This window comes from Homo sapiens, chromosome 9 (genome assembly GCF_000001405.40).
Source record: "Homo sapiens chromosome 9, GRCh38.p14 Primary Assembly".
NCBI lineage: Eukaryota > Metazoa > Chordata > Mammalia > Primates > Hominidae > Homo > Homo sapiens.
In genome coordinates, this window is record NC_000009.12 from 86127160 (window position 1) to 86150331 (window position 23172).

A 23172-nucleotide genomic window follows, 5' to 3' on the forward strand; every position below is an offset into this window, starting at 1 on the left:
TTTTGAAGGTTGTGGAAAAATCAGTGTGTGCAGCCAACAAAAGGGCAACAAGCCAATTGTGGTTATACAGGGCTGTTTTAAGAGTCAAGTCATGTTTGGGATGGGGGTGGGGTGCACAGTCTTGTATCAAGCATTTTCTGTAGCAGAGCTCAATCAGCATCTACAAGGCAGGGCTGGGCCACTCCTGCCTCTGAGCCTGTCTTCAGTAGTGGGTGCCTTTGTAACGAGCCAGCCTGTCCCCGGACCCAGGCAGAGTGACAAAACAGCTACACATTCATGAAGAACACTGGCTGTCTCCATAACAACCACGGTTAACATGACTCTGTAGAACTATGGGCGTGGCCCTTGGGTCTCCTGGCCTGGCTACCAACATGCCTGTGGCTTCTCATTGGGCCCCGTGAGTGCTGGCAGGGCTGTGAAGCAGGTGTGACTAATGGGTCAGCTCCCCGCTGGGACTGTGACCCTGAAGCTAACAAACCTAAGGGCAAGGCCAGGCGCAGCAGCTTTCTGAGTCTCTTCTGAAGTGGCTTGAAGTCGATACTGTGTGTGTATGTAAGATCTAGCCTGAAGGAAGGCGCTTTGTTCAGTTGCTAACTTATTTTCTTGGTGGTAAGCTTTAGATATCACTTAGCTTTTATGTTTGCTTGTTTTGTTACAGATTAAGTAGCTGTCATAAGAAAAAGGACTATTTACTTACTATCTGGAGTCTTGTTCTGTTTGATACCCCTAGGCACATGTTCAATTCAGAGATAAGAGCCCTGGAAGTTATAGATTGCAAACAGTTTTTTCCCTGAAAACAAAACTGACATATTTATATACAATGATAAATACATAGATAGACTAATGATCAGTTTATGGATATTTGGCAATATGCCTCTCAATAATCATCACATTATTCATAATGTTTATAAATTCATAAATATAAGCGCACATTACAGCAACTTATTAACAATGTTCTATAAGCCAGAAAAGCACCATGAATACAAAATAAATTATTATAGTTCCTGAACAGTACTTTTACCTGCTAAATATTTTGTGGCCTTCAACAGCTCAGCCAGACAGTCAAAAGGAGAGCAACTTAGCAGAAGATTTTGGTCTAGCTGAGGATTCAGATCACTGAAGAACTTAAGTTTAGGCTGTTAAACAAAATTATGGGAGCCCGTTATTTTGGACTGAACTCCTGTACTAGGCCCCAACAGACGAGACCAAACCAAAATGGAGTCATTCATGCTAAATGCCTCGTCATCAAATAGAAGCTTTAAGGAAGCAGATAGATCCAACATAGACTAGTTTTTCTTGAGAACAGAAGATTCCAGTCTACCTGTGTCAGTGCAATAAGGAAGTCCTCTCTGCTTTAATTTTTACACAAAAAGTAACCTCATGTTAGCCAATCCGACTTTAAAATTTTTTTTTTCCTATTTCCTTGTTCTCACCTTACAAAACCCACTGTTCTGCTGCTGTCCAGCAGGAACCCTCATGCTGTTTTGTAGAATGGAAGCTGCCCTGATTCATGAATTGCAAATAAAAGCCAATTAGATCTATAACTATATTTGTTGGAATTTTGTCTTTTGACAAGACCAACTGGACCTTCCCTTTCTTGGTTAAAATCTGCAAGACTCTTCTTCCTTGGTCACACTGGACAATTGGCTTGTTAGAGCTGCAGTCAGGGGAACCTGGGAGAGACTCACCTTGCGAAGAAGACAAAGGCCACGGTGCTAATGGTGGTGGTGCAGGTATCCTGAGATGGCCAGAGCTCAGAGAAGTTCATGTCAAGAGGTGACAAGCCACAGTGAATTTACGGAATTTTTGTTTCTATGTTTATGGAAATTTATGTGTGCACTCATGCCGTGTTATGGACTGAATTGTGTCCTCCCAAAATGCATATGTTGAAACCCTAACGTCTAAAGTGACAGTATTTTGAGGTAGGGCCTCTGAGGAAGTAATTAAGGTTAAAGAGGTTATAAGAGTGGGGCCCTAGTGATGAGATTTGTGCCCCTGTAAGAAGAGACACCAGCCCTCACTATCTCTCCCTGTCCCTCTCTCTTTCTGTCTGTCTTTCTGCCATGTAAGGACACACAAAGAAGGCAGCCACCTGCAAGCCAGGAAGAGAGCCCTCACCAGGGACCAAAATGGCCAGTGCCTTGATTTTGGACTTCAGCCTCCAGGAGAGTAAGAAATAAATTTCTGTTTCTTAAGCCACCTAATCTGTGATATTTTGTTATGGCCATTTGAACTGACTCAGACAGCCAGGATCACTTATTTAGTTGTTCATTAATTTATTGATCCATTCAAGAAATTCAACAACTCTCTATTGAGTGCTTTATGTACCAGGCACTGTTTTTGGAGGTCAGGATGCATCAGTGACAGAAGACAAAAAGATTCCTACATTGTAAGCTTACCTGTAGGGACAGTAAACAATCAACATTAGAAGTAACTAAATCTGTGGTGATGATACTATACATTTTGTGATGTACCTTAACAGTACATAAATGTCTTTTACACCCATTATTGCATCTGACCTGGCAGACCCCGGGAGGTATGAGGAAATGAAGCCCACTCTCCAGGTCACATGGCTGGTACCAATTATAGTAGTAGCTAATAAGTATTTAGCTGCTTATTATGTGCTAGGAGCTGTTCTATGTGTGTGTTAACTCATTGAATCCTAGCAACAATTCTAGAAGTTGTTTTCTACAATAAAGGCACAGAGAAGTAATTTGTTCAAGGTCAGCTGGGTGCAGTGGCTCACACCTGTAATCCCAGCACTTTGGGAGGCTGAGGCGGGTGGATCATGAGGTCAGGAGTTCAAGACCAGCCTGGCCAAGATGGTGAAACCCCATCTTTACTAAAAATACAAAAATTATCCAGGCGTGGTGGCAGATGCCTGTAATCACAGCTACTTGGGAGGCTGAGGCAGGGAATTGCTTGAATCCGGGAGGTGGAGGTTGCAGTGAGCTGAGATTGTGCCACTGTACTCCAGCCTGGGTGACAGAGGAAGGCTCCATCTAAAAAAAAAAAAAAAAAAAAAATTTGCTCAAGGTCAGACTATAGTAAGTGCTGAGCCATGTTCTGAACTAGTGAGCATGCATCCGTCATGTGAAGCTCCTCCTTCTCTTGAGCCATCACTCAGTTAGTTGTTTGCCCTCCTGGTAGACTGTAAGCTCCTTGCAGGCAGGCCCCCAACTCTCTGCTTCACCGCTTTCTTGGGCACACAGCAAGATGTCCACAAAGTCTGAACACATAGGCAAACGTGCACAGTGTCATCAAGGACATCTGCAACTTGTAAAATCTGTTTCCAGACTTTATAAATACTCTGTAGGTACTGAATGAATGAATGGATGGATGGATGGATGAAATCTGGGTCCTTTAGCCTTAGCTTCCCACCACACCACCCGCGTTCTTTAGATAGTTAACATCTATTTCCTGCCACAGTTCTCTGTCTAAGAATACAGATTTTGAGGATGAGAGGGGGTAATATAACTAGCTTTGCATTATGCAAGAAGGGAGAGTCATCCTTTCCTTTAATACTTAAATAGTAACAATGCAGGCCTCATTCTTCAGAAAGCCCGGGATCACTTCTAAGGATCCTGGTGAGTCTGCGAATTTCTATACATTCATTTGTTGTTGTTTTCCACTTCTTGCTGTGGATGTGTGCTCTGGGTTTCTCCCGCCTCTGGCCATCCCTGGATAACTCTGATGCCTGCATGGCTGTAGCAGAGACTCTGAATGCAGGTTGTATGCCTGATTTAGTTTCCTACGCTGCTATAATAAATTACCACATATTTAGTGGATTAGAACAACACAAATTTATTATCTTACAATTCTGTAGGTCAGAAGTCTGACATGGGTTTCACTGGGCTCAAATCAAGGCGTCAGCAAGACTGTATTCCTTCTGAAGCCTCTAGGGAAGAATCTGGTCTTTTACCTCCTCCAGCTTCTAGAGGGCACCTGTATGCCTTGGCTCAGGGTCCCCTTCCATTTGCTAAAGCCAGCAACGTTGCATTTTTTGTTCCTTCCTTCTGTCATCATGTTTCCCTCTGACTACAGCCAGGAAGCATTCTCTGCTTTTAAGGGTTCATGTGATGGCATTGGGTCCACCAGATAATATGAGAAAATCTCCCCATCTCAAGATACATATTTTAATCACTCCTGCAAAGTCCCTTTTGCCATGTAAAATAACATATTCACAGGTCCTGGGATTAGGGCATGAACACTCTGGGGGAGGGGGATTACTATGTATACCACAGTGCTGACATCAGTCTTCCCTTCTGTACTAATAGAACTTCTGGTTTTTCTGGTTTTTAATTGAACACATGGGCATCCAAAATAAAAATTACATCTTCCAGCCTCTGTTGCAGCTAGATGCTGTCATGGGAGTATGTTCTGGTCAATTAGATATGGAGATATCATGTGGGGCTTGAGGAGCTATCCCTCAAACATGGGGGAGTAACCTTCTTCACTGCCTTCCCCCTTCCTGAGAATGTGACCTGGCAGCTGTCAGTCAGGTAGTCATTTTGGACCCTAGGTGGATGTGACATGTTGAAGATGGTGGAGCAACAGAATAAAAGGACCCCAGGTTCCTGATGGTCATGGAGTCCCCACACCAGTCCTAGGCTGTTTGACTTTGGACTTTGTTTACATTATTGAAATGTTGTCATATTCCATTACCTTTCACTTGCAAGTGAACCTAATCCTTACTGATATTGTGGCTGTCTCACTGATACAATGGGTTTGCTTCCTTCCAAAGTAGGGGCACAGGCCTTTATTTCTCTTTTTCCCCTAAGGCACCAAGAATACAACATTGTTAGCTATAACCAACTCCACTCACAAACTAAAAATACAGAAAAGAAAAGTTTAACACTGGACATCAGATATCCTAGCTCTGGAAGTCAGTGGGCCATGTCTCTTCAGGGGTACTTATCCCTTCTTCCCCCTTTCCTGCTACTGCAATGCTGGGGCCAGCACCTCTCCTTCTTCCTTAGGAGTCCCCCTCTCTCATTCTGCTACTCTCTGGCCCACCCTCCAAAATTGCTAAACAACCCAGTAATCTCTGCAGAGCCATGCCAGTCCATAACAAGGATGGCCTTTCAAAACATACCAATTACAGTGCATGCTTAATGTCTCAGTAGACAGCACCTACTTTTGTGTAGAAGCTTCATTTATATCCATGTGACTAAAAGGGCTCACCAATGTGATTCCTCCTTGAACTGATGGAAATTTTCCCTTCAAAATAAATTCCAGCTTTTATCACTGTTTGCAAATGTTAGTACTCTAGAATTTCCAGCCATCAGATACATAGATATCCACTGTATGTACATCTATGATTATTGAAGGCAGTAGGGAAAATCCAACAAGGGAGAAAGCTGAACAAGCGTGGAAAATGAGACCAGGAGAAGAAGTGAACAGCTTTGTATTTGGATGGAGAAGAAAACAGCAAATGCTGACATTCGTCAAAATAAGACAGAGACTAGGGTTGCAACGAAGTTGCAGTGAGATGAAGGTGGCCGCACCGGTTGTAGATGGTTGAGATGGTCCCTGGAAGTGGCAAGGCTTGAGCAAGGCTGGGAGATAGCAGCAGAACCTCGATGTGCAGCCTCAGTCCGGGGCAAACGGGCTTCCCCAACACCCCGGCTGGTTGGATCTCTGGCTTTGCATCCTTTCTGATGTGGTTTTCTTCTTTGCATACCTTTTGCCATCACTGATTTACTGACATCTACATTAAGAAGTTGGCCCTGGAGTGAATTCTGAAAATGACTACATACTTCTTGAATAAAGAAGATAGGACTGTCAGTAGAAGAATTTCAAAGCTCTAAGGGACCATCCTTTTATTTTACACTGTGATATGGTTTGGCTGTGTCCCCATCCAAAATCTCATTTTGAATTGTAATAATCCCCATGTGTCAAGGGTGGAACCAGGTGGAGGTAATTGTTCTCGTGACAGTGAATGAGTTCCCATGAGATCTGATGGTTTTATAAGGGGCTTCCCCCTTCGCTTGTCTCTCATTCTTCTCCTTCCTGCTGCCATGTGAAGAAGGACATATTTGCTTCCACTTTCAACATGATTGTAAGTTTCCTGAGGCCTCCCCAGCCCTGTGGAATTGTGAGTCAATTAAACCTCTTTTCTTTATAAATTACCCATTCTCAGGCAGTTCTTTATAGCAGCGTGAGAATAGACTAATATATATTGTTATTAATTTGGAGAACTCTATGAAATGGGTAGGATTTCACCCACTCATAGCTAAGTTGTTAAAACTAGACCCTTTGGTTCATGTTTAAAAACGTTTCCAACAGCTGATGGTTTTACAGGGGCTGAATATAAAAGTATTTGTACTGAAGGATTTTGTGTATTCATTAAGAAACATAGTAATGTCTTTTCTTTAACATTTTAAGGGCTGATCAGGGTTTAATATGATGCAAATAATATGATGATTAATAAGGTGATGTTTTTATTAATTCAAAAGTAAATTATTTAAAAGCGGGGAAGCATTTTGAGAGAAGGAACAAAGTGCTCTTAGACGGCATGGAGGCTATAATACAAAAGATATACAGGAAATGCAGGCCCATAATGTATTTATTGGCTCTAAGTTCCAGCCTAATTTTTAGATTAAGTGGGACTCTTATGAAAAGACAGGTCATGATCAACAGGTTGATATAGTCTTAAGAAAAGTAGATAACATCCAGCTATTGGAAAGTTAGCATGCATGCTCTCTTACTTGGATATCTCCCCCTTTCCTTTAAACTCTTGAGCCCCCTAAAATTAAGGAGTATGTAGTTCAAGCATATTTTTTATTACTGTTACAGTAAGTATGCTTGTGGCCAAAACATTTATTTTATTTTTATTTTATTTATTTATTTATTTTTGAGACGGAGTCTCGCTCTGTTGCCCAAACTGGAGTGCAGTGGTGCGATCTCGGCTCACTGCAAGCTCCGCCTCCCAGGTTCACGCCATTCTCCTGCCTCAGCCTCCGGAGCAGCTGGGACTACAGGCGCCCGCCACCACACCCGGCTAATTTTTTGTGTTTTTAATAGAGACGGGGTTTCACCGTGTTAGCCAGGATGGTCTCGATCTCCTGACCTCGTGATCTGCCCACCTCGGCCTCCCAAAGTGCTGGGATTACGGACGTGAGCCACCGCGTCCGTCCCAAAACATTTATTTTTACAATGTCTGTAACTTGCTTAAATACTTCAGCAAAATCAGCGTGATATTTACTCATTCAACCAATATTTGTGCCCTCACTATTCATCAGGCATTATTTTAGACGCTGCAATGAACAAAACAGACAGAAATTCTGGCCTTTGTGGAGCTTACATTCTCATTTGTTATTTAAATCGAAATTTTATTTAAGAAGAATTTGCATTCTAAAGGTGATCAGCTAGTATTTAACCAGAAAGGCCACATTCCCACAGCAGCTACTGTAAGTACCTGAGAAGCTATCCCTGCTAGCCCTAAAGGCTTTATATGAGGAATGTTAGAAATGGACTCTTGTCATTGAAATTAGTGGCATTCAATATAATATGTGAACTGTCTTAAATATTTTGAGGATATTCCCTCCCTTATAAACAGGGCGTAATATCTGGTAAACTCTCCGGGTGCAGTGGCTCACGCCTGTAATCCTAGCACTCTGGGAGGCTGAGACGGGCCAATGACCTGAGGTCAGGAGTTTGAGACCAGCCTGGCCAACATGGTGAAACCCAGTCTCTACTAAAAATTGGCATGCACCTATAATCCCAGCTACTCAGGAGGCTGAGGCAGGAGAATTGCTTGAACCCGGGAGGTGGAGGTTGCCGTGAGCCAAGATCGTGCCACTGCACTCTATCATGGGAGACAGCAAGACTCTGTCACAAAAAAAAAGAAAAAGAAAAAGAAAAAGAAAAAGAAAAAAAATCCGTATTAATCCTCCTACCTTTCAGAATGGCTCTTAGGGTTAGCAAGTCTGGAATTGATTTTGAAGATTTTTAATTGCCTGATGCTGACTATAAACTAAGCAGTTATGCAATTATGCTTTTAGGATGCTGTTGCATCTCCCTAAAGAGACCCAGTTTTGGAAGGTATGATTGAAGCATCTAGAGGAATACAGAACAGAGTGCCCTGAGTGTAGCAGACAGACTGTATAAACTGTTTCTCCACTGCTTGCTAATGGCTTTGTCTAATAAATGTTTACTTACATATAAAAAAAAGAGAAATGCATGATCAGGAACTGACTTAGCTCACTATGGAAGGAGCAGTGGGGAAAAAAAAACAACTAGAATTTCACAAATGAAGGCAAACTGCAGTATTGACAGACGCTTCCCTGCAGCAAGGATGGCTCAAGGAGAAAATGTATTTTAGATTAGGCAGAGTGGGAAGAGGCAACAGCAACAGCTGTGAGAAAGGCGTATCACTGCAGCTTCTGTTGCAGCCTCAACCGCGTTGTGGTCACGTGGTTCCTGGGCCTGCTCTTACACCCAGGTACATGAGCTCACTTGCAACTACAGGTCCCAGGGACATCTATCTCAAAGATGCTTGGCATCTGCACTGTCATAAACTACAATCAATGTTTTATCACTTTAACTGCTAGTTTTATTAAGTCTCACATTTAATAAAGACACATTTCTGGACAAATAGAACAGGTTTTCTTTGAGATATGTGAAGACTTTCATCTGTCTCCTTGTGTTTAGATCTGGTCTCTGAAGACACGATCAGCTCCAAATGCCTGTCCCTATATGCAAGTTCAATTTCATTGGTTTTCCTGCTTTCATAAGCTCTAGAAAGGCTTGCTTTGATTAAGAACAATGGCACTAAAGGACACTAATCTGAAACCATTCACAGTCACACAGCTTAATTAAGACTACGGACTGTTTTTTATATATATATATATATATATATATATATATTTTTTTTTTTTTTTGATGGAGTCTTGCTCTGTTGCTCAGGCTGGAGTGCAGTAGAGCGATCTCGGTTCACTGCAAGCTCCCCTTCCTTGGTTCAAGCGATTGTAGGGCCTCAGACTTCCAAGTAGCTGGGATCACAGCCACCATGCCTGGCTAATTTTTTTTTTTTTTTTTTTTTTGGTATTTTCAGTAGAGACAAGGATTCACCATGTTGGCCAGGCTGATCTCAAACTCCTGACCTCAAGTGATCCACCCGCCTCGGCCTCCCAAAGTGCTGGAATTACAGATGTGAGCCACTGGGCCAGGCTGAGACGATCAATATTAACATGACTTTATTCTTCCAGGAAATTCTTGCCCAGGAAGATAACATTGCAAATGACTTTATGGTTTATGCCAAAAACTTCCTGGAAACCCATTTATCTGAACTGTGGACTCAACTATCTCTTATTATCAGGGTTAATAGCTCCCTTTTCAGAAAAGCAGTTTGATCGACTGGGCTTATCAAACAACTCTTTGTTCCTTAAGGCTCAGTTCAAAGCTGAAATCTCCTCTCTGAATTTTTTTTTTTTTTTTTGAGACGGAGTCTCGCTCTGCTGCCTAGGCTGGAGTGCAGTGGCATGATATCGGCTCACTGCAACCTCCGCCTCCCAGCTTCAAGCGATTCCCCTGCCTCAGCCTCCTGCATAGCTGGGATTACAGGTACCCACCACATCCAGCTAATTTTTGTATTTTTAGTAGAGACGAGGTTTTGCCATGTTGGCCAGGCTGGTCTCAAACTCCCAACCTCAGGTGATCCACTGGCCTCAGCCTCCCCAAGTGCTAGAATTACAGGCGTGAGACACCATGCCCTGCCCTCTCTGCACCTATTAAAGTACAAATCTTGCCTACACTTGGTCAGGTCCCACACCTGCACTGAAGGACCTACCTTACACCAAACCTCTGAAGCCTTACCCTTGAGACACTGCTGTGACTGTGCTGGTAGCCACCATGGTCTTGCTTGATCAACAGATTGGTAGTCCTTCAACCTGTTGAAGGAGTTGCTCAGCTTTCAACAATGTCAACATCAAAACTGAATCCTGGGCCAAGCGTGGTGGCTCATGCCTGTAATCCCAACACTTTGGGAGGCCGAGGCGGGTGGATCACCTGAGGTCAGGAGATCGAGGCTAGCCTGGCCAACATGGTGAAACCCCGTCTCTACTAAAAATACAAAAAATTAGCTGGGTATGGTGGTATGTGCCTGTAATCCCAGCTACTCGGGAGGCTGAGGCAGGAGAATCACTTGAACCCAGGAGGTAGAGGCTTCATTGAGCAGAGATCATGCCACTGTACTCCAGCCTGGGCGACAGAACGAGACTCTGCCTCAAAAACAACAACAATGACAACAACAAAACCAACAACACTGAATCCTGGATTGATGGATTATCATGAAAGGTATCATGAGTTGGTGCACTAGGTACTGTGTGAAGTGCTTGATATTTATAAACTCATTTAAGATTTGGTAGTTACCTAGTGGAGAGGGAACAATAGCACTTATGGAAGGGCTTACCATGGGATTGGAATTGCTCTAAATGCTTTGCATGTGTTCACTCATTTAATCCTGACCAAAAACCTAGAAGGTTGTCAACCCCCATTTTTTTGCAGAGGAGGAAACTGAGGCACGGGGAAATTTAGTCACTTGTCCAAGGACATACAAAGGCAAATGACAAAGCAAGCATTTTCATTCAGACTTCTCTTGCTATTTAAATTTTCTTATACTTGACATGTGGCTCTTGTCAATTTTATAACTTGGCCAACATCATACAGTTGTAGTGATGAAGCTGAGACTTAAATCCAGGATTTTAAATCTAAAACTAATATTTCTAACCATATCAGTGTTTGTTTTTATTCAATTGGCAACACTTTAATGTTTCTTTTCTTTTTATCAGGGCAAAATTTGATCCCTATAAGGATAAAATATATTCTTAATAAGTTGAAAGGTTGTATATTTTAAAATTTTTGGTTGCCGGGTACAGTGGCTCATGCCTGTAATCCCAACACTTTGGGAGGCCAAGATGGGAGGATCACCTGAGGTCAGGAGTTCGAGACCAGCCTGACCGACATGGTGAAACCCCCTCCCTACTAAAGATACAAAATTAGCCAGGCATGGTGGCACATGCCTGTAATCCCAGCTACTCGAGAGGCTGAGGCAGAAGAATTGCTTGACCCTATTTTATTTTGATAGTGAATTTATCCATGTTTATTTTAATTATGAAATATGCAACCAGCCCAAATGCCCATCAATTAATTAGTGGATAAATAAATTGTGGTATATGTATACCATGGAATACTATTCAGCCATAAAAAGGAATGAAATAATGGCATTCACAGCAACCTGGATGGAGTTGAAGACAAGGATATCTGCAATTGCTACTTCTTTTCAGCCTTGTAATTGAGTCTCTAGCCAGAAAAATTAGGCAAGGAAGAGAAATGAGAAAAAGAAGTAATCTCAGCTGGACGCGGTGGCTCATGCCTATAATCCCAGCACTTTGGGAGGCCGAGGCAGGCGGATCACTTGAAGTCAGGAGTTCGAGACCAGCCTGGCTAAGATGGTGAAACCCCGTCACTACTAAAAACACAAAAATTAGCCAGGCATGGTGTTGCATGCCTGTAATCCCAGCTATTCAGGAGGCTGAGGGAGAAGAATCGCTTGAACCTGGGAGGCGGAGTTTGCAGTGAGCCAAGATCATGCCACTGCACTCTAGCCTGGGTGACAGAGCGAGACTCTGTCTCAAAAAAAAAAAAAAAAAAAAAGAAGAAAGAAAAACTAGAAAATGAAAACTGGCAAAAAGAGGAAAATGTAAAAGACCAGAATTCTACGCATTACCTTGAGATAATCACTGATCATAGGTTTGTGCATATTCTTTCAGATTTGTCTATGTGTTTGTACACATGTATCATAAAAAATTCATTTAATGTTTGTATAGCTGATTCTCATTATTCACAGCAGTTATATTCTATAAAGTCACCACTGACACTGAATTAGTGAATACTAAAACATTACTCCTAGGGGAATACAGGGTTAGGTGCCTGTGAGCCTCTTGTCACAACATTTTCAGCAACTGAGCAATACATAGTCTTGGTTTATGCATGTTTCTGTTGAAAGACACCTTATTTAATATATATTTTTCATCCATTAACACTGAACTCATGATGAAGAGCACTTTAATTCACTCCTGAACAAAGATTATCTAACATACATGATGATGATTTATCTGTAAGGCACATCCTAATCTTCTTGGACTTAGAAACACTGGACATTTTAGCACTACACTGGGAGACATTTTAAACAATGGATTTACCAACACAGAGCACAAAAATGTGAAAAACATGGCACTAAATAAACAGCAAAAAGGGGCTGGGCACAATGGTTCATGCCTATAATCCCAGCACTTTGGGAAGCTGAGGCAGGTGGATCACCTGAGGTCAGGAGTTTGAGAAAAGCCTGACCAATATGGTGAAATCCCGTCTCTATTAAAAATACAAAAATTAGCTGGGTGTAGTGGCGTGCCCCTGTAGTCCCAGCTCCTCGGGAGTCTGAGGTGGGAGAATCCCTTGAACCCAGGAGGCGGAAGTTGCAGTGAGCAGAGATCGCACTACTGCACTCCAGCCTGGGCGACAGAGCCAGACTCCGTTTCAAATAATAATAATAATAAATAAATAGCCAAAAGGACTTTTGGATACAGTGTGAGAGTTGAAATAAGAGGGTGGAACATCACCTTGTTTGACCTCGCTGAGAATGTGCTCGTAAGGCAACTGAAATTTTTCACTACTCTGTAGGTGTCCACAAACGACCACAAAAGCATTTATTTTAGGATTACAAATACATCTTAGTGAGTAGGCAAATTCACAAAATATGGAATCTGTGAATAATGAGAATCAACTGTATATGTGACAAATCAGTCCTGCAGTTTTGTAGCAAGCACTGTCCTCTCAGTATATCTTCCATATCACTAAGTATACTTCTTCATGATCATTGGCAATGGGCTAATAGTATTTTATTATATGGATATAAGAATCATTTAGACAATCTGATTTATTTCCTGGAGCCACTGTAGCAAACGGGTACTAAGCTCTGATTTTTTTTATCTTGCCCAAATTCCTATCTAAGGGGTCTGGGGAGTCATCTCCTACAAATCATAAATTCCCATCAGATGGATTTTATTTAACCCTATATATTGTGACTTACTTTCCAATCTGACTCTGGCATAACATTACAAGACAAGGAAGAAAATCAAAATATTTTACCCCAAAACATGTTTCTCTGCCATATCTTTAAATGGCCCTGCAAAGCCATCCTTTCTGGGGGAAAATCTAGATCTGTAAAGAGTCTCTTAACATAGCTAGATCTTTTTCTTCCAGGTCCTCCCAATCCTGAAGAGATTAACTAAAAGTCTAGCACCTTTTAAATAACTGAATAGGCTGGGCACAGTGGCTGGTGGGGAGGCTGAGGCAGGAGAATCTCTTGAACCCAGGAGGTGGAGGTTGCAGTGAGCCGAGATTGTGCTACTGCACTCTAGTCTGGGCGACAGAGTGAGACTCTGTCTCCAAAAAAAAAAAAAAAATCTCTCTTGCCTCCCTTTTTTTTTTTTTTTGAGATGGAGTCTCGCTCTGTTGCCCAGGCTGGAGTGCAGTGGCGGGATCTCGGCTCACTACATGCTCCGCCTCCCAGGTTCACACCATTCTCCTGCCTCAGCCTCCCAAGTAACTGGGACTACAGGCACCCACCACCATGCCCAGCTAATTTTTTGTATTTTTAATAGAGACAGGGTTTCACCATGTTAGCCAGGATGGTCTCGATCTCCTGACCTCGTGATCTGCCTGCCTCGGCCTCCCAAAGTGCCGGGATTACCAGCGTGAGCCACCGCACCCAGCCTCTTGCCTCCCTTTAATAGGGCTATAAGTGACTTCATTTAGGGTCCACTCTGATAATCCAAAACCTGAGAATAAAACCTCAGGCACAGAGATAGTGTGCAAATTACATTCGCCTGCATCAAGCCTAAAGACACAGATTTCAGCAAGGAGGGAGCACTAGATAAGGGAAGTTTTCAGGGTTTCCTTATGGGAGATAGGTTCAAGGTGGTAGCAGCAATGGTTAGGAAGTCCAGGGAACAGTACCCCAAATCATAGGAAATGCCAGACCAAGGGCAGTTTCAACTTCTTGTTCCACCAGGAAACTGAAATTTTAACACAGTTAATTTATATGGCTGTAAATATTCCCTTAGGGGAGCTATGTCATTTAGTTATAATGTGTAGTTATGGGTTCATATTCTAGCTGTACCATCAGTGCCACATTTTAGAATCTGTCATATGTTATATAATCAAAATACTACAACTGGGTAATGATAAAGAGTTTTCTTTCTTTTTTTTTTTGAGATGGAGTCTTGCTCTGCTATGCAGGCTGGAGTGCAGTGGCAAGCTCTCAGTCCACTGCAGCCTCTGCCTCCTGGTCACAAGCAATTCTCCTGCCTCGGCCTTCCGAGTAACTGGGATTACAGGTGCATGCCACCATGCCCAGCTAATTTTTGTATTTTTAGTAGAGATAGGGTTTCACCATGTTGGCCAGGCTGATCTTGAACTCCTGACCTCAGGTGATCTACCAGTCTCGACCTCCCAAAGTGCTGGGATTACAGGTATGAGCCACTGTGCCTGGCCAAGTTTTCATCATTATATGCAAGTACCTGGGAAGAAAAAACTTTTTCTCTACCGTCTTATTCTCAGTGTAAATTAAACTAACAAAAGACATTAATAGGAGAAAAAGACATACACGTTTAGGTGATGTTTTAATTTTATGTGCATGGGGGCTACACAAAAAGAAGTAAAACCTCAAAGAGGTGGTTAAGCTCAGAGGCTTATGTACCATTTTAACAAGGGCAATAAATTGTGGAGAAGTGACTAGCAAAGAAAGGGTGGGGGTTGGGCCCCTAGGGGCAATAAATTGTCAAAAGGTAAATATGTGGTGAAACTAATGGAAGACAGGGTTATTTTAGGAAGGCTTCTTTGTGCAGATTCATCTCAATGTCAACTTTCCATCTTTTTCATGGACATAAAACGCCCCTGGGGAGAGAAGGGATTTATGGCAACCTAATTTCTCGGAAGTTTCTGCTTTTAGTCAGATAAGGGAAGCTACAACAAGGCTTTCTTTCTCTATCTGTTGATTCCCAATAACCTTCGACTCAAAACAATCCATATGTCAAACTGGCATGTTTTAAGGTGGCATACTCTGGCCCCCTTCATGAGCATGTATTTCTTGCATACAAGGCCTGAAGTTTGGGGGCCAGAGTGCAGCAGGCCAGGCCAACACCAGATACGCTCCTGGCATTTCAGGGGCTGTGGCTACAAAAGCTAAGGCCCTGGGGTGGTAGTGAGATGGAGCCGGGACCTCTCTTAGGGGCTTGCTGGGTCCCACAAGCATGGAAATGAAGAAAAATTTTGAGTTCTTCCAAGGAAATTCTAGTCACCTAGCTAACCCTGCAACCAGCAATCAGAGAAGTAAATGAACAGCATTTGAAGCAAGAAGACAATAATAGCTTAAACAATAACCACCCAGTAAGTCAGAGTCACAAAGTGTTTGGCTCTCTGTAGAAACTAAAAGATTAAATCTTTTTTTTTGAGATGGAGTCTCTCTCTGTTGCCCAGGCTGGGGTGCAGTGCCACAATCTCAGCTCACTGCAACCTCTGCCTCCTGTGTTTGAGCAATTCTCCTGCCTCCTGTGTTCGAGTGATTCTCCTGCCTCAGCCTCCCGAGTAGCTAGAACTACAGGCATGCACCACCATGCCCAGCTAATTTTTCTATTTTTAGTAAAGACAAGGTTTCACGACGTTGGCCAGACTGGTCTTGAACTCCTGACCTCAGGTCATCCACCCACCTCAGCCTCCCAAAGTGCTGGAATTACAGATGTGAGCCACCACACCCAGCCAAAAGATAACATCTTAAGTTGTTTTTCAGAAGCAAGGACCCCCACCAGATGGAAAATGCCAACTGCTGTCACGTAGACTTCAGGTAAGGGGAAACTGAGGGCTGAACTCTGACTATTGTTCTTTGTTTAAAATTTTATGATGGAGCCTGGAGACAGTCATGCCTGCAGACCATCAATCTTGTTAACTGGTCACTCTGACACAGTATGCTATGGCTTGCTCTCATAAACTGACTATGGCATAGCAACGCACAATGATTCCTTATCCTAACAAACATGTTAAAGCCAAACCTTTACACTCCTTTCCTGCTGGCCTAAAGATTTTAGACAAAGCCTTGCTCCCTTAACCAACTGCAAATCAAAGAATTTCTGAATCCTCCTATGACCTGTAAGCCCCTGCTTCAAGATATCCTGCATTTATTGATTTACGATTTTGCCTGTGTTAAATCAAGTTTAGCCTAAAGCTGCCTCCTTACATATTTAAGCTCAGCCTAAAATTTTTCTGTACATTGTGAACTATACAAGTGGAGGTATAAACCAACCATAGCCCACACCTGTGCCAATCACTGAGTTTTGGTCAATCAGATGTAGCCAACTATTCAAACCATGTTCAAATAAGGCAAATGCTGAGCTGTAACCAATCCAGTTGTTTCTGTACCTCACTTTCGTTTTCTGTACCTCACTTTCCTTTTGCTGTCCATAAATCTTCCACCATGTGTCTGCGTTGGAGTCTCTCTGAATCTGCTGTGATTCTGGGGGATGGGTGGCTGCCGGCTTCACAAATTGTTCACTGATCAATTAAACTCCTTTAAGTTTAATTCAGCTGAGATTTTTCTTTTAGCCCCTGTAACTCCCACTTTCATGAAATGTACCCCTGCTGTAACCGCCCGAGGGGTTCACCTTGCCCGCTGCCTAGACAGAGCCAATTCATCAAGACAGGGAAATTGCAATAGACAAACAATAATTCACGTAGAGCAGGCTGTGCAGGAGACTAGAGTTTTATTATTACTCAAATCAGTTTCCCCAAGCATCATTCGGGGAGCAGAGTTTTTTTGTTTTGTTTTGTTTTTTTAATCGAGACAGAGTTTCGCTCTTGTTGCCCAGGCTGGAGTACAATGGTGCCATCTCGGCTCACGGCAACCTCCACCTCCCAGGTTCAAGTGATTCTCCTGCCTCAGCCTCCCAAGTAGCTGAGATTACAGGTATACGCCACCACGCCTGGCTAATTTTTTATATTTTTTAGTTGGGAAGGGGTTTCTTTCTGGTCTCAAACTCCTGACCTCTGGTGATTCGCCTGCCTCAGCCTCCCAAAGTGCTGGGATTACAGGCATGAGCCACGGCATCCAGCTGGGGGAGCAGAGTTTTTAAGGTTTACTTGGTGGGTCAGGGGGAGACCAGTGAGCCAGAAGAGCTGACTGGTCAGGGATGTCAAAGCTGCCTTCTTGTGCTGAGTCAGTTCTTGGGTTGGGGGGGGGCCACAAGATCAGATGAGCCAGTTTATTGATCTGGGTGGAGCCAGCTGATCCATCAAGTGCAAGGTCTGCAAAATATCTCAAGCTCTGATCTTAGGAGCAGTTTAAGGAAGGTCGGAGTCTTGTAGCCTCCAGCTGCATGACTCCTAAACCATAATTTCTAATCTTATGGCTAATGTTAGTTTAGTCCCCAGGCAAGAAGGAGGTCTGCTTTGGGAAAGGGCTGTTACCGTCTTTGTTTAAACTATAAACTACAAACTAAGTTTCTCCCTAAGTTAGTTCAGCCTGTCAGCGGCCTGTGAACCAGAGCAACTCCATCTTAAACAAGAGCTGGGTAAAATGAGGCTGAAACCTACTAGGCTGCATTCCCAGACAGTTAAGGCATTCTAAGTCACAGGATGAAATAGGAGGTCAGCACAAAATACAAGTCATAAAGACCTTGCCGATAAAACAGTTTGCCGTAAAGGAGCTGGCCAAAACCCACCAAAACCATAATGGCGACGAGAGTGATCTCTAGTCATCCTCACTGCTACACTCTCACCAGCGCCATGACAGTTTACAAATGCCATGGCAACATCAGGAATTTACGGTCAGGAATTTATGGTTTAAAAAGTGGAGGTATGAATAATCCACCCCTTATTTAGTATATTATTAAGAAATGACCATAAAAATGGGCAACCAGCAGCCCTTGGGGCTGCACTGTCTATGGAGTAGTCATTCTTTTATTCCTTTACTTTTTTTTTTTTTTTTTATGGAGTTTCACTCTTGTTGCCCAGGCTGGAGTGCAATGGCTCGACCTCGGCTCACTGCAAGCTCTGCCGCCCAGGTTCAAGCGATTCTCCTGTCTCAGCCTCCTGAGTAGCTGGAATTACTGGCATGCGCCACCATGCCCGGCTAATTTTGTATTTTTAGTAGAGATGGGGTTTCTCCATGTTGGTCAGGCTGGTCTTGAACTCCCGACCTCAGGTGATTTGCCCGCCTCAGCCTCCCAAAGTGCTGGGATTACAGGCATGTGCCACTGCACCCAGCCTCTTTTCTTCCTTTACTTTCTTAATAAACTTGCTTACACTTTGCACCTTGGACTTGCCCTGAATTCTTTCTGGCATGAGATCCAAGAACCCTCTCCTGGGGTCTGGATTGAGACCTCTTTCCCATAACAAGCCTATGCCCAGGAATGAACAAGGACAGCTTGGAGATTAGAAGCAAGATGGATTTGGTTAAGTTGGATCTCTTTCACTGTCTCAGTTGTAGTTTTGCAAAGGCATTTTCACTGCCTTTATAAACCCTTGCTTGTAAGCCATAGGGGAGGTCGGATCTCAAGCATTACCTGCCTGTTCTCCTTGCTTGGTGCTCTGCAATAAACTCATTTCTTTCTTTCACTGCAAACCTCAGTATCAGTGTTTGGCTTTGCTGTGCTGGATGAGCAGACACAGGTTCAGTTCAGTAACAGGAGGAATGGAATCTAGAAATGGAACAGACACTAAGGGATTGACCAGGAGACCAGAGCTGGGACTGTGGGAGCTGCTGAAGAACAGAAGGGGCCGGGCATGGTGACTCACTTCTGTAGTCCTAGCACTTTGGGAGTCCAAGGTGGGTGGATCATGAGGTCAGGAGTTCAAGACCAGCCTGGCCAAGATGGTGAAACTGTCAGGCCTCTGAGCCCAAGCCTGCATGTATACATCCAGATGGCCTGAAGCAACTGAAGAACCACAAAAGAAGTGAAAATAGCCAGTTCCTGCCTTAAGTGATAACATTCCACCATTGTGATTTGTTCCTGCCCCACCCTAACTGATCAATTGACCTTGTGAAATTCCTTCTCCTGGGCAATGAGTATCAGAAGCTTCTCACTGAGCACCTTGTAACCACTGCCCCTGCCTGCAAGAGAAAAACCTCCTTTGACTGTAATTTTCCACTACCCATCCAAATCCTATAAAACTGCCCCACCCCATCTCCTTTTGCTGACTCCTTTTTCGGACTCAGCCCACCTGCACCTAGGTGATTAAAAAGCTTTATTGTTCACACAAAGCCTGTTTGGTGGTCTCTTCACACAGACGTGCGTAACATTTGGTGCCAAAGACCCAGGACAGGGGGACTCCTTTGGGAGACTGGTCCCCTGTCCTCACCCTCACTCCATGAGGAGATCCACCTACAACCTCGGGTCCTCAGACCAACCAGCCCAAGGAATATCTCACCAATTTCAAATTGGGTAAGTGGTCTTTTCACTCTCTTCTTCAGCCTCTCTCACTACCGTTCAATCTCCCTATCCTTCCAATTCCAGTTCTTTTTCCTCTCTAGTAGAGACAAAGGAGACACATTTTATCCATGGACCCAAAACTCCGGCACCGGTCACAGACTCAGGAAGACAGTCTTCCCTTGGTGTTTAATCACTGTGGAGATGCCTGCCTGATTATTCACCCACATTCCATTGGTGTCTGATCACCGTGGGGATGCCTGCCTTGGTCATTCACCCACATTCCCTTGGTGGCAAGTCAACTGTGGGGATGCCTGCTTTGGCTGCTCACCACCCCCTTCTCCAGGTCTCTACCTTTCTCTTTAAACTTACCTCCTTCACTATGGGCAACCTTCCACCCTCCATTCCCCCTTCTTCTCCTTTAGCCTGTGTTCTCAAGAACTTACAACCTCTTCAACTCACACCTGACTTAAAACCTAAATGCTTTATTTTCTTCTGCAATACTGCTTGGCCCCAATACAAACTCAACAATGGTTCCAAATGGCCAGAAAATGGCACTTTTGATTTCTCCATCTTACGAGACCTGGATAATTTTTGTCGAAAAATGGGCAAATGGTCTGAGGTTCCTGATGTCCAGGCATTCTTTTGCACATAGTCCCTCCCTAGTCTCTGCTCCCAATGCGAATTGCCCCAAATCTTTCTTCTTTCTCTCCTGTCTGTTGCTTCAGTCTCCACTCCAAGCTCTGAGTCCTTTGAATCCTTCTTTTCTGTGGACCCGTCTGACCTTGTGTCTGGAATTGGTTCCTTCCGGTGAGTTCTTGGTCTTGCTGACTTCAAGAATGAAGCCGTGGACCCTCGTGGTGAGTGTTACAGTTCTTAAAGATGGTGTATCTGGAGTTTTTTCCTTCAGATGTTCAGATGTGTCCACGGTTTCTTCCTTCCAGTAGGTTCGTGGTCTTGCTGACTTCAGGAGTGAAGCCGCAGACCTTTGCAGTGAGTGTTACAGCTCTTAAAGGTGGCGTGTCCAGAGTTGTTTGTTCCTCTTGGTGGGTTTGAGGTCTTACTGGATTCAGGAAGGAAGCTGCAGACCTTTGCAGTGAATGTTACAGCTCATAAAGGTAATGCAGACCCAAAGAGTGAGCAGCAGCAAGATTTATTGCGAAGAGCGAAAGAACAAAGCTTCCACAGCATGGAAGGGGACTCGAGTGGGTTGCCGCTGCTGGCTTGAGTGGCCAGCTTTTATTCCCTTATTTGGCCCCACCCACATCCTGCTGATTGGTCCATTTTACAGGGCACTGTTTGGTCCATTTTAAAGAGTGCTGATTGGTCCATTTTTACAGAGTGCTGATTGGTGCATTTACAAACCTTTAGCTAGACACAGAGTGGTGATTAGTGCTTTTTTACAGAGTGCTGATTGGTGTGTTTACAAACCTTTAGCTAGACACAGAACGCTGATTGGTGCATTTACAATCATTTAGCTAGACAGAAAAGTTCTCCAGGTCCCCACTAGATTAGCTAGACACAGAGTGCTGATTGGTGCATTTTTACAGAGTGCTGATTGGTGTGTTTACAAACCTTTAGCTAGACACAGAGCGCTGATTGGTGCATTTACAATCCTTTAGCTAGACAGAAAAGTTCTCCATGTCCCCACCTGATTAGCTAGACACAGAGTGCTGATTGGTGTGTTTACAAACCTTTAGCTAGACACAGAGCACTGATTGGTGCATTTACAATCCTTTAGCTAGACAGAAAAGTTCTCCAAGTCCCCACCTGACCCAGAAGCCCAGCCGGCTTCACCTCTCAATCCCCCCTCTAAACAGGACACCCCAACTGCTGTTGGGAATTGGGCAATGACTGCTCTAGCTACTTCCTGCTGGATAGGGGTGAAGAAGTGGCCCTGCAGTTGTAGTGTCCTCCAGAGGGGAACTCTTTAGGCCAGTGAAAGGGCCAGTGGGTCAGTCCAGGGGTCCTTGGTAGAAGTTGTTAGTTGAGCTCATTTGAGGTTCCATTTGTAAGACCATCTGCAGCTTGATGGCCTCAATTCTAGAGGAAACAAATTTGACAAGGAGGTTAAAAATACAGGGCCTGAAGGCAAGTAATAGCAAGATGGCTGCCATGGGACCTAGAAAGGGGAGAAGCCATGTTGCCCAACTCCAGAGGTTGGTATAAGAGTTTGAAAGGCATTGTCTGATTTCAGAAGCCTTTTCTTGTAAACGCCAGGTGGCATCTCGTACTATCCCTGACTGGTTAGTGTAAAAACAACACTCTTCCCCTAAGAAGGTGCAGAGTCCTCCTTTCTCAGCAGTGAGGAGGTCTAGGCCTCGGCAGTTTTGGAGTCACTGCTGCCAAAGAGTCTATTTGGGATTGTAGAGTAAGGATAGATTTCGTTATTTCTTGAAAACTATCTGAGAAATCCTTTGAGAGTGTGTGGTAGTAGGATAATGAAGTAGATAAACTGGCTATTCCAGTTCCTGTAGCAGTAGCCATTCCTAACCCTATAAGTAGGGGTATTAATTGTATGGCTCTGCACTGACGGACTTGAGCTTTGAGGGGTACTGATAGGGTCCGATTTCCTGGGGCAATGTTAATGTTGGGACTTAGGAAGACTAAGGTGCAGGTGCCTGTCCAGTTAGAGGGGAGGCAGATATAGGTCGACGTTCCCAATAAGAAGAATATACCTTGGCTGGGTAGACAGAACTTGTTGTGTATGTTAAAAAGTTGTGTGAGTTTGTTGTTTTCATTTTTCCATACTCCTAGAGTACTTGCCAAGGTAGTGCTGGTGAGTGGCTGGAAAGGGGTGTTGGGAGCAAACTGAGTTGCTCCCGGTGTTCTATTTCCCCATTGGAGAAAAAACCATTTTGTATCTGCTAGGAACCATTTGAGAGAGTAATTGAAAGAGAGGATGAGAAGGCATTCACTAGTGGTGGGGGCGCTGCTGCAGGGGGTCCAGGGGTGAATGGTCATGCAGGGAGTATGTTTGCCACTATAAAACCTGGACTGTTTGTTAAGCAGGGGGGAGGTGATGATTTTTGGGAGCCCTGAGAAGCGGACAAGCCATCTGAATGGAGCTGTTTGGGTGACTTGGAAGTTACTATGATCAGTTGGGGCTTGAAGTTGTGGGGTGTAATTACACTGATGGGGTAGTAGGTGCCCCAGGGGCAGGCCTGATAACAGGTTGCATTGGATGCATAAAAGGGCTTGGAAAGTTAAGATAGTATTCATAGTTACAGGGCCGTGTATGGGCTTTTCATTGCTTGTGTAATAAGTGAGGTTGGAAATGTAAGAAAGCAAAAGTTGGATTGCACATCCTGTTAGGGTATTCTTGGTCCTATCAGAGATGGGGAAGTCAGCTAATGATTGCATATTTAGAAGTCAGAAATGGTCTTTTCCTTCATAATGAGGGTGGTAGATTAAGTTGGTAAAGACCCAGTTTTTTGCGGGAATGGGAATGGCAATGTAAGCGGAGGTTGATAGAAAGATACAAAGCCAGCAGTCATTTTCCAGGGAAGGATTGGACTGGTTTAACAGAGAGTGGGTTAAGTTGAGAGTCTTGTAGAGGTAATTAGGAGCTAGTGGAAGGGGAGGGGTGATTGCATGAGGTATCCAAGGAAGCAGAAGGGAAAGATAGGCAAAGCATAAATAGGAAGGTCAAGAGGGTGCTCTGGAAGACGAGATCATTTTATCCAGG

General features: G+C 43.8%; 1 long non-coding RNA gene and 1 pseudogene across 1 annotated transcript in view, besides 1 other annotated feature; both read left to right on the forward strand.

Annotated features, from left to right (window-relative positions):
• The first annotated feature begins 380 nt into the window (after positions 1-380).
• LOC101927623 (uncharacterized) overlaps positions 381-23172 on the forward strand; it is a 29547-nt gene continuing 6755 nt past the window's right edge. The window contains exons 1-4 of the long non-coding RNA NR_110996.1: positions 381-1922; positions 2071-2169; positions 15854-15907; positions 19345-19499. This is a non-coding gene — a long non-coding RNA (uncharacterized LOC101927623). The remainder of the gene's footprint in view (positions 1923-2070; positions 2170-15853; positions 15908-19344; positions 19500-23172) is intronic.
• Positions 5465-7849, forward strand: LOC100287212 (allregulin pseudogene; annotated as a pseudogene).
• Positions 18929-20128: an enhancer, noted in NCBI's record as "P300/CBP strongly-dependent group 1 enhancer chr9:88761003-88762202 (GRCh37/hg19 assembly coordinates)". NCBI's record gives its function as "activates an origin of replication core promoter dependent on BRD2, BRD4, P300/CBP, MED14 and CDK7 cofactors, with strong dependence on P300/CBP, by STARR-seq in HCT116 cells {active_cell/tissue: HCT116}" and the evidence as "EXISTENCE:reporter gene assay evidence [ECO:0000049][PMID:35650434]".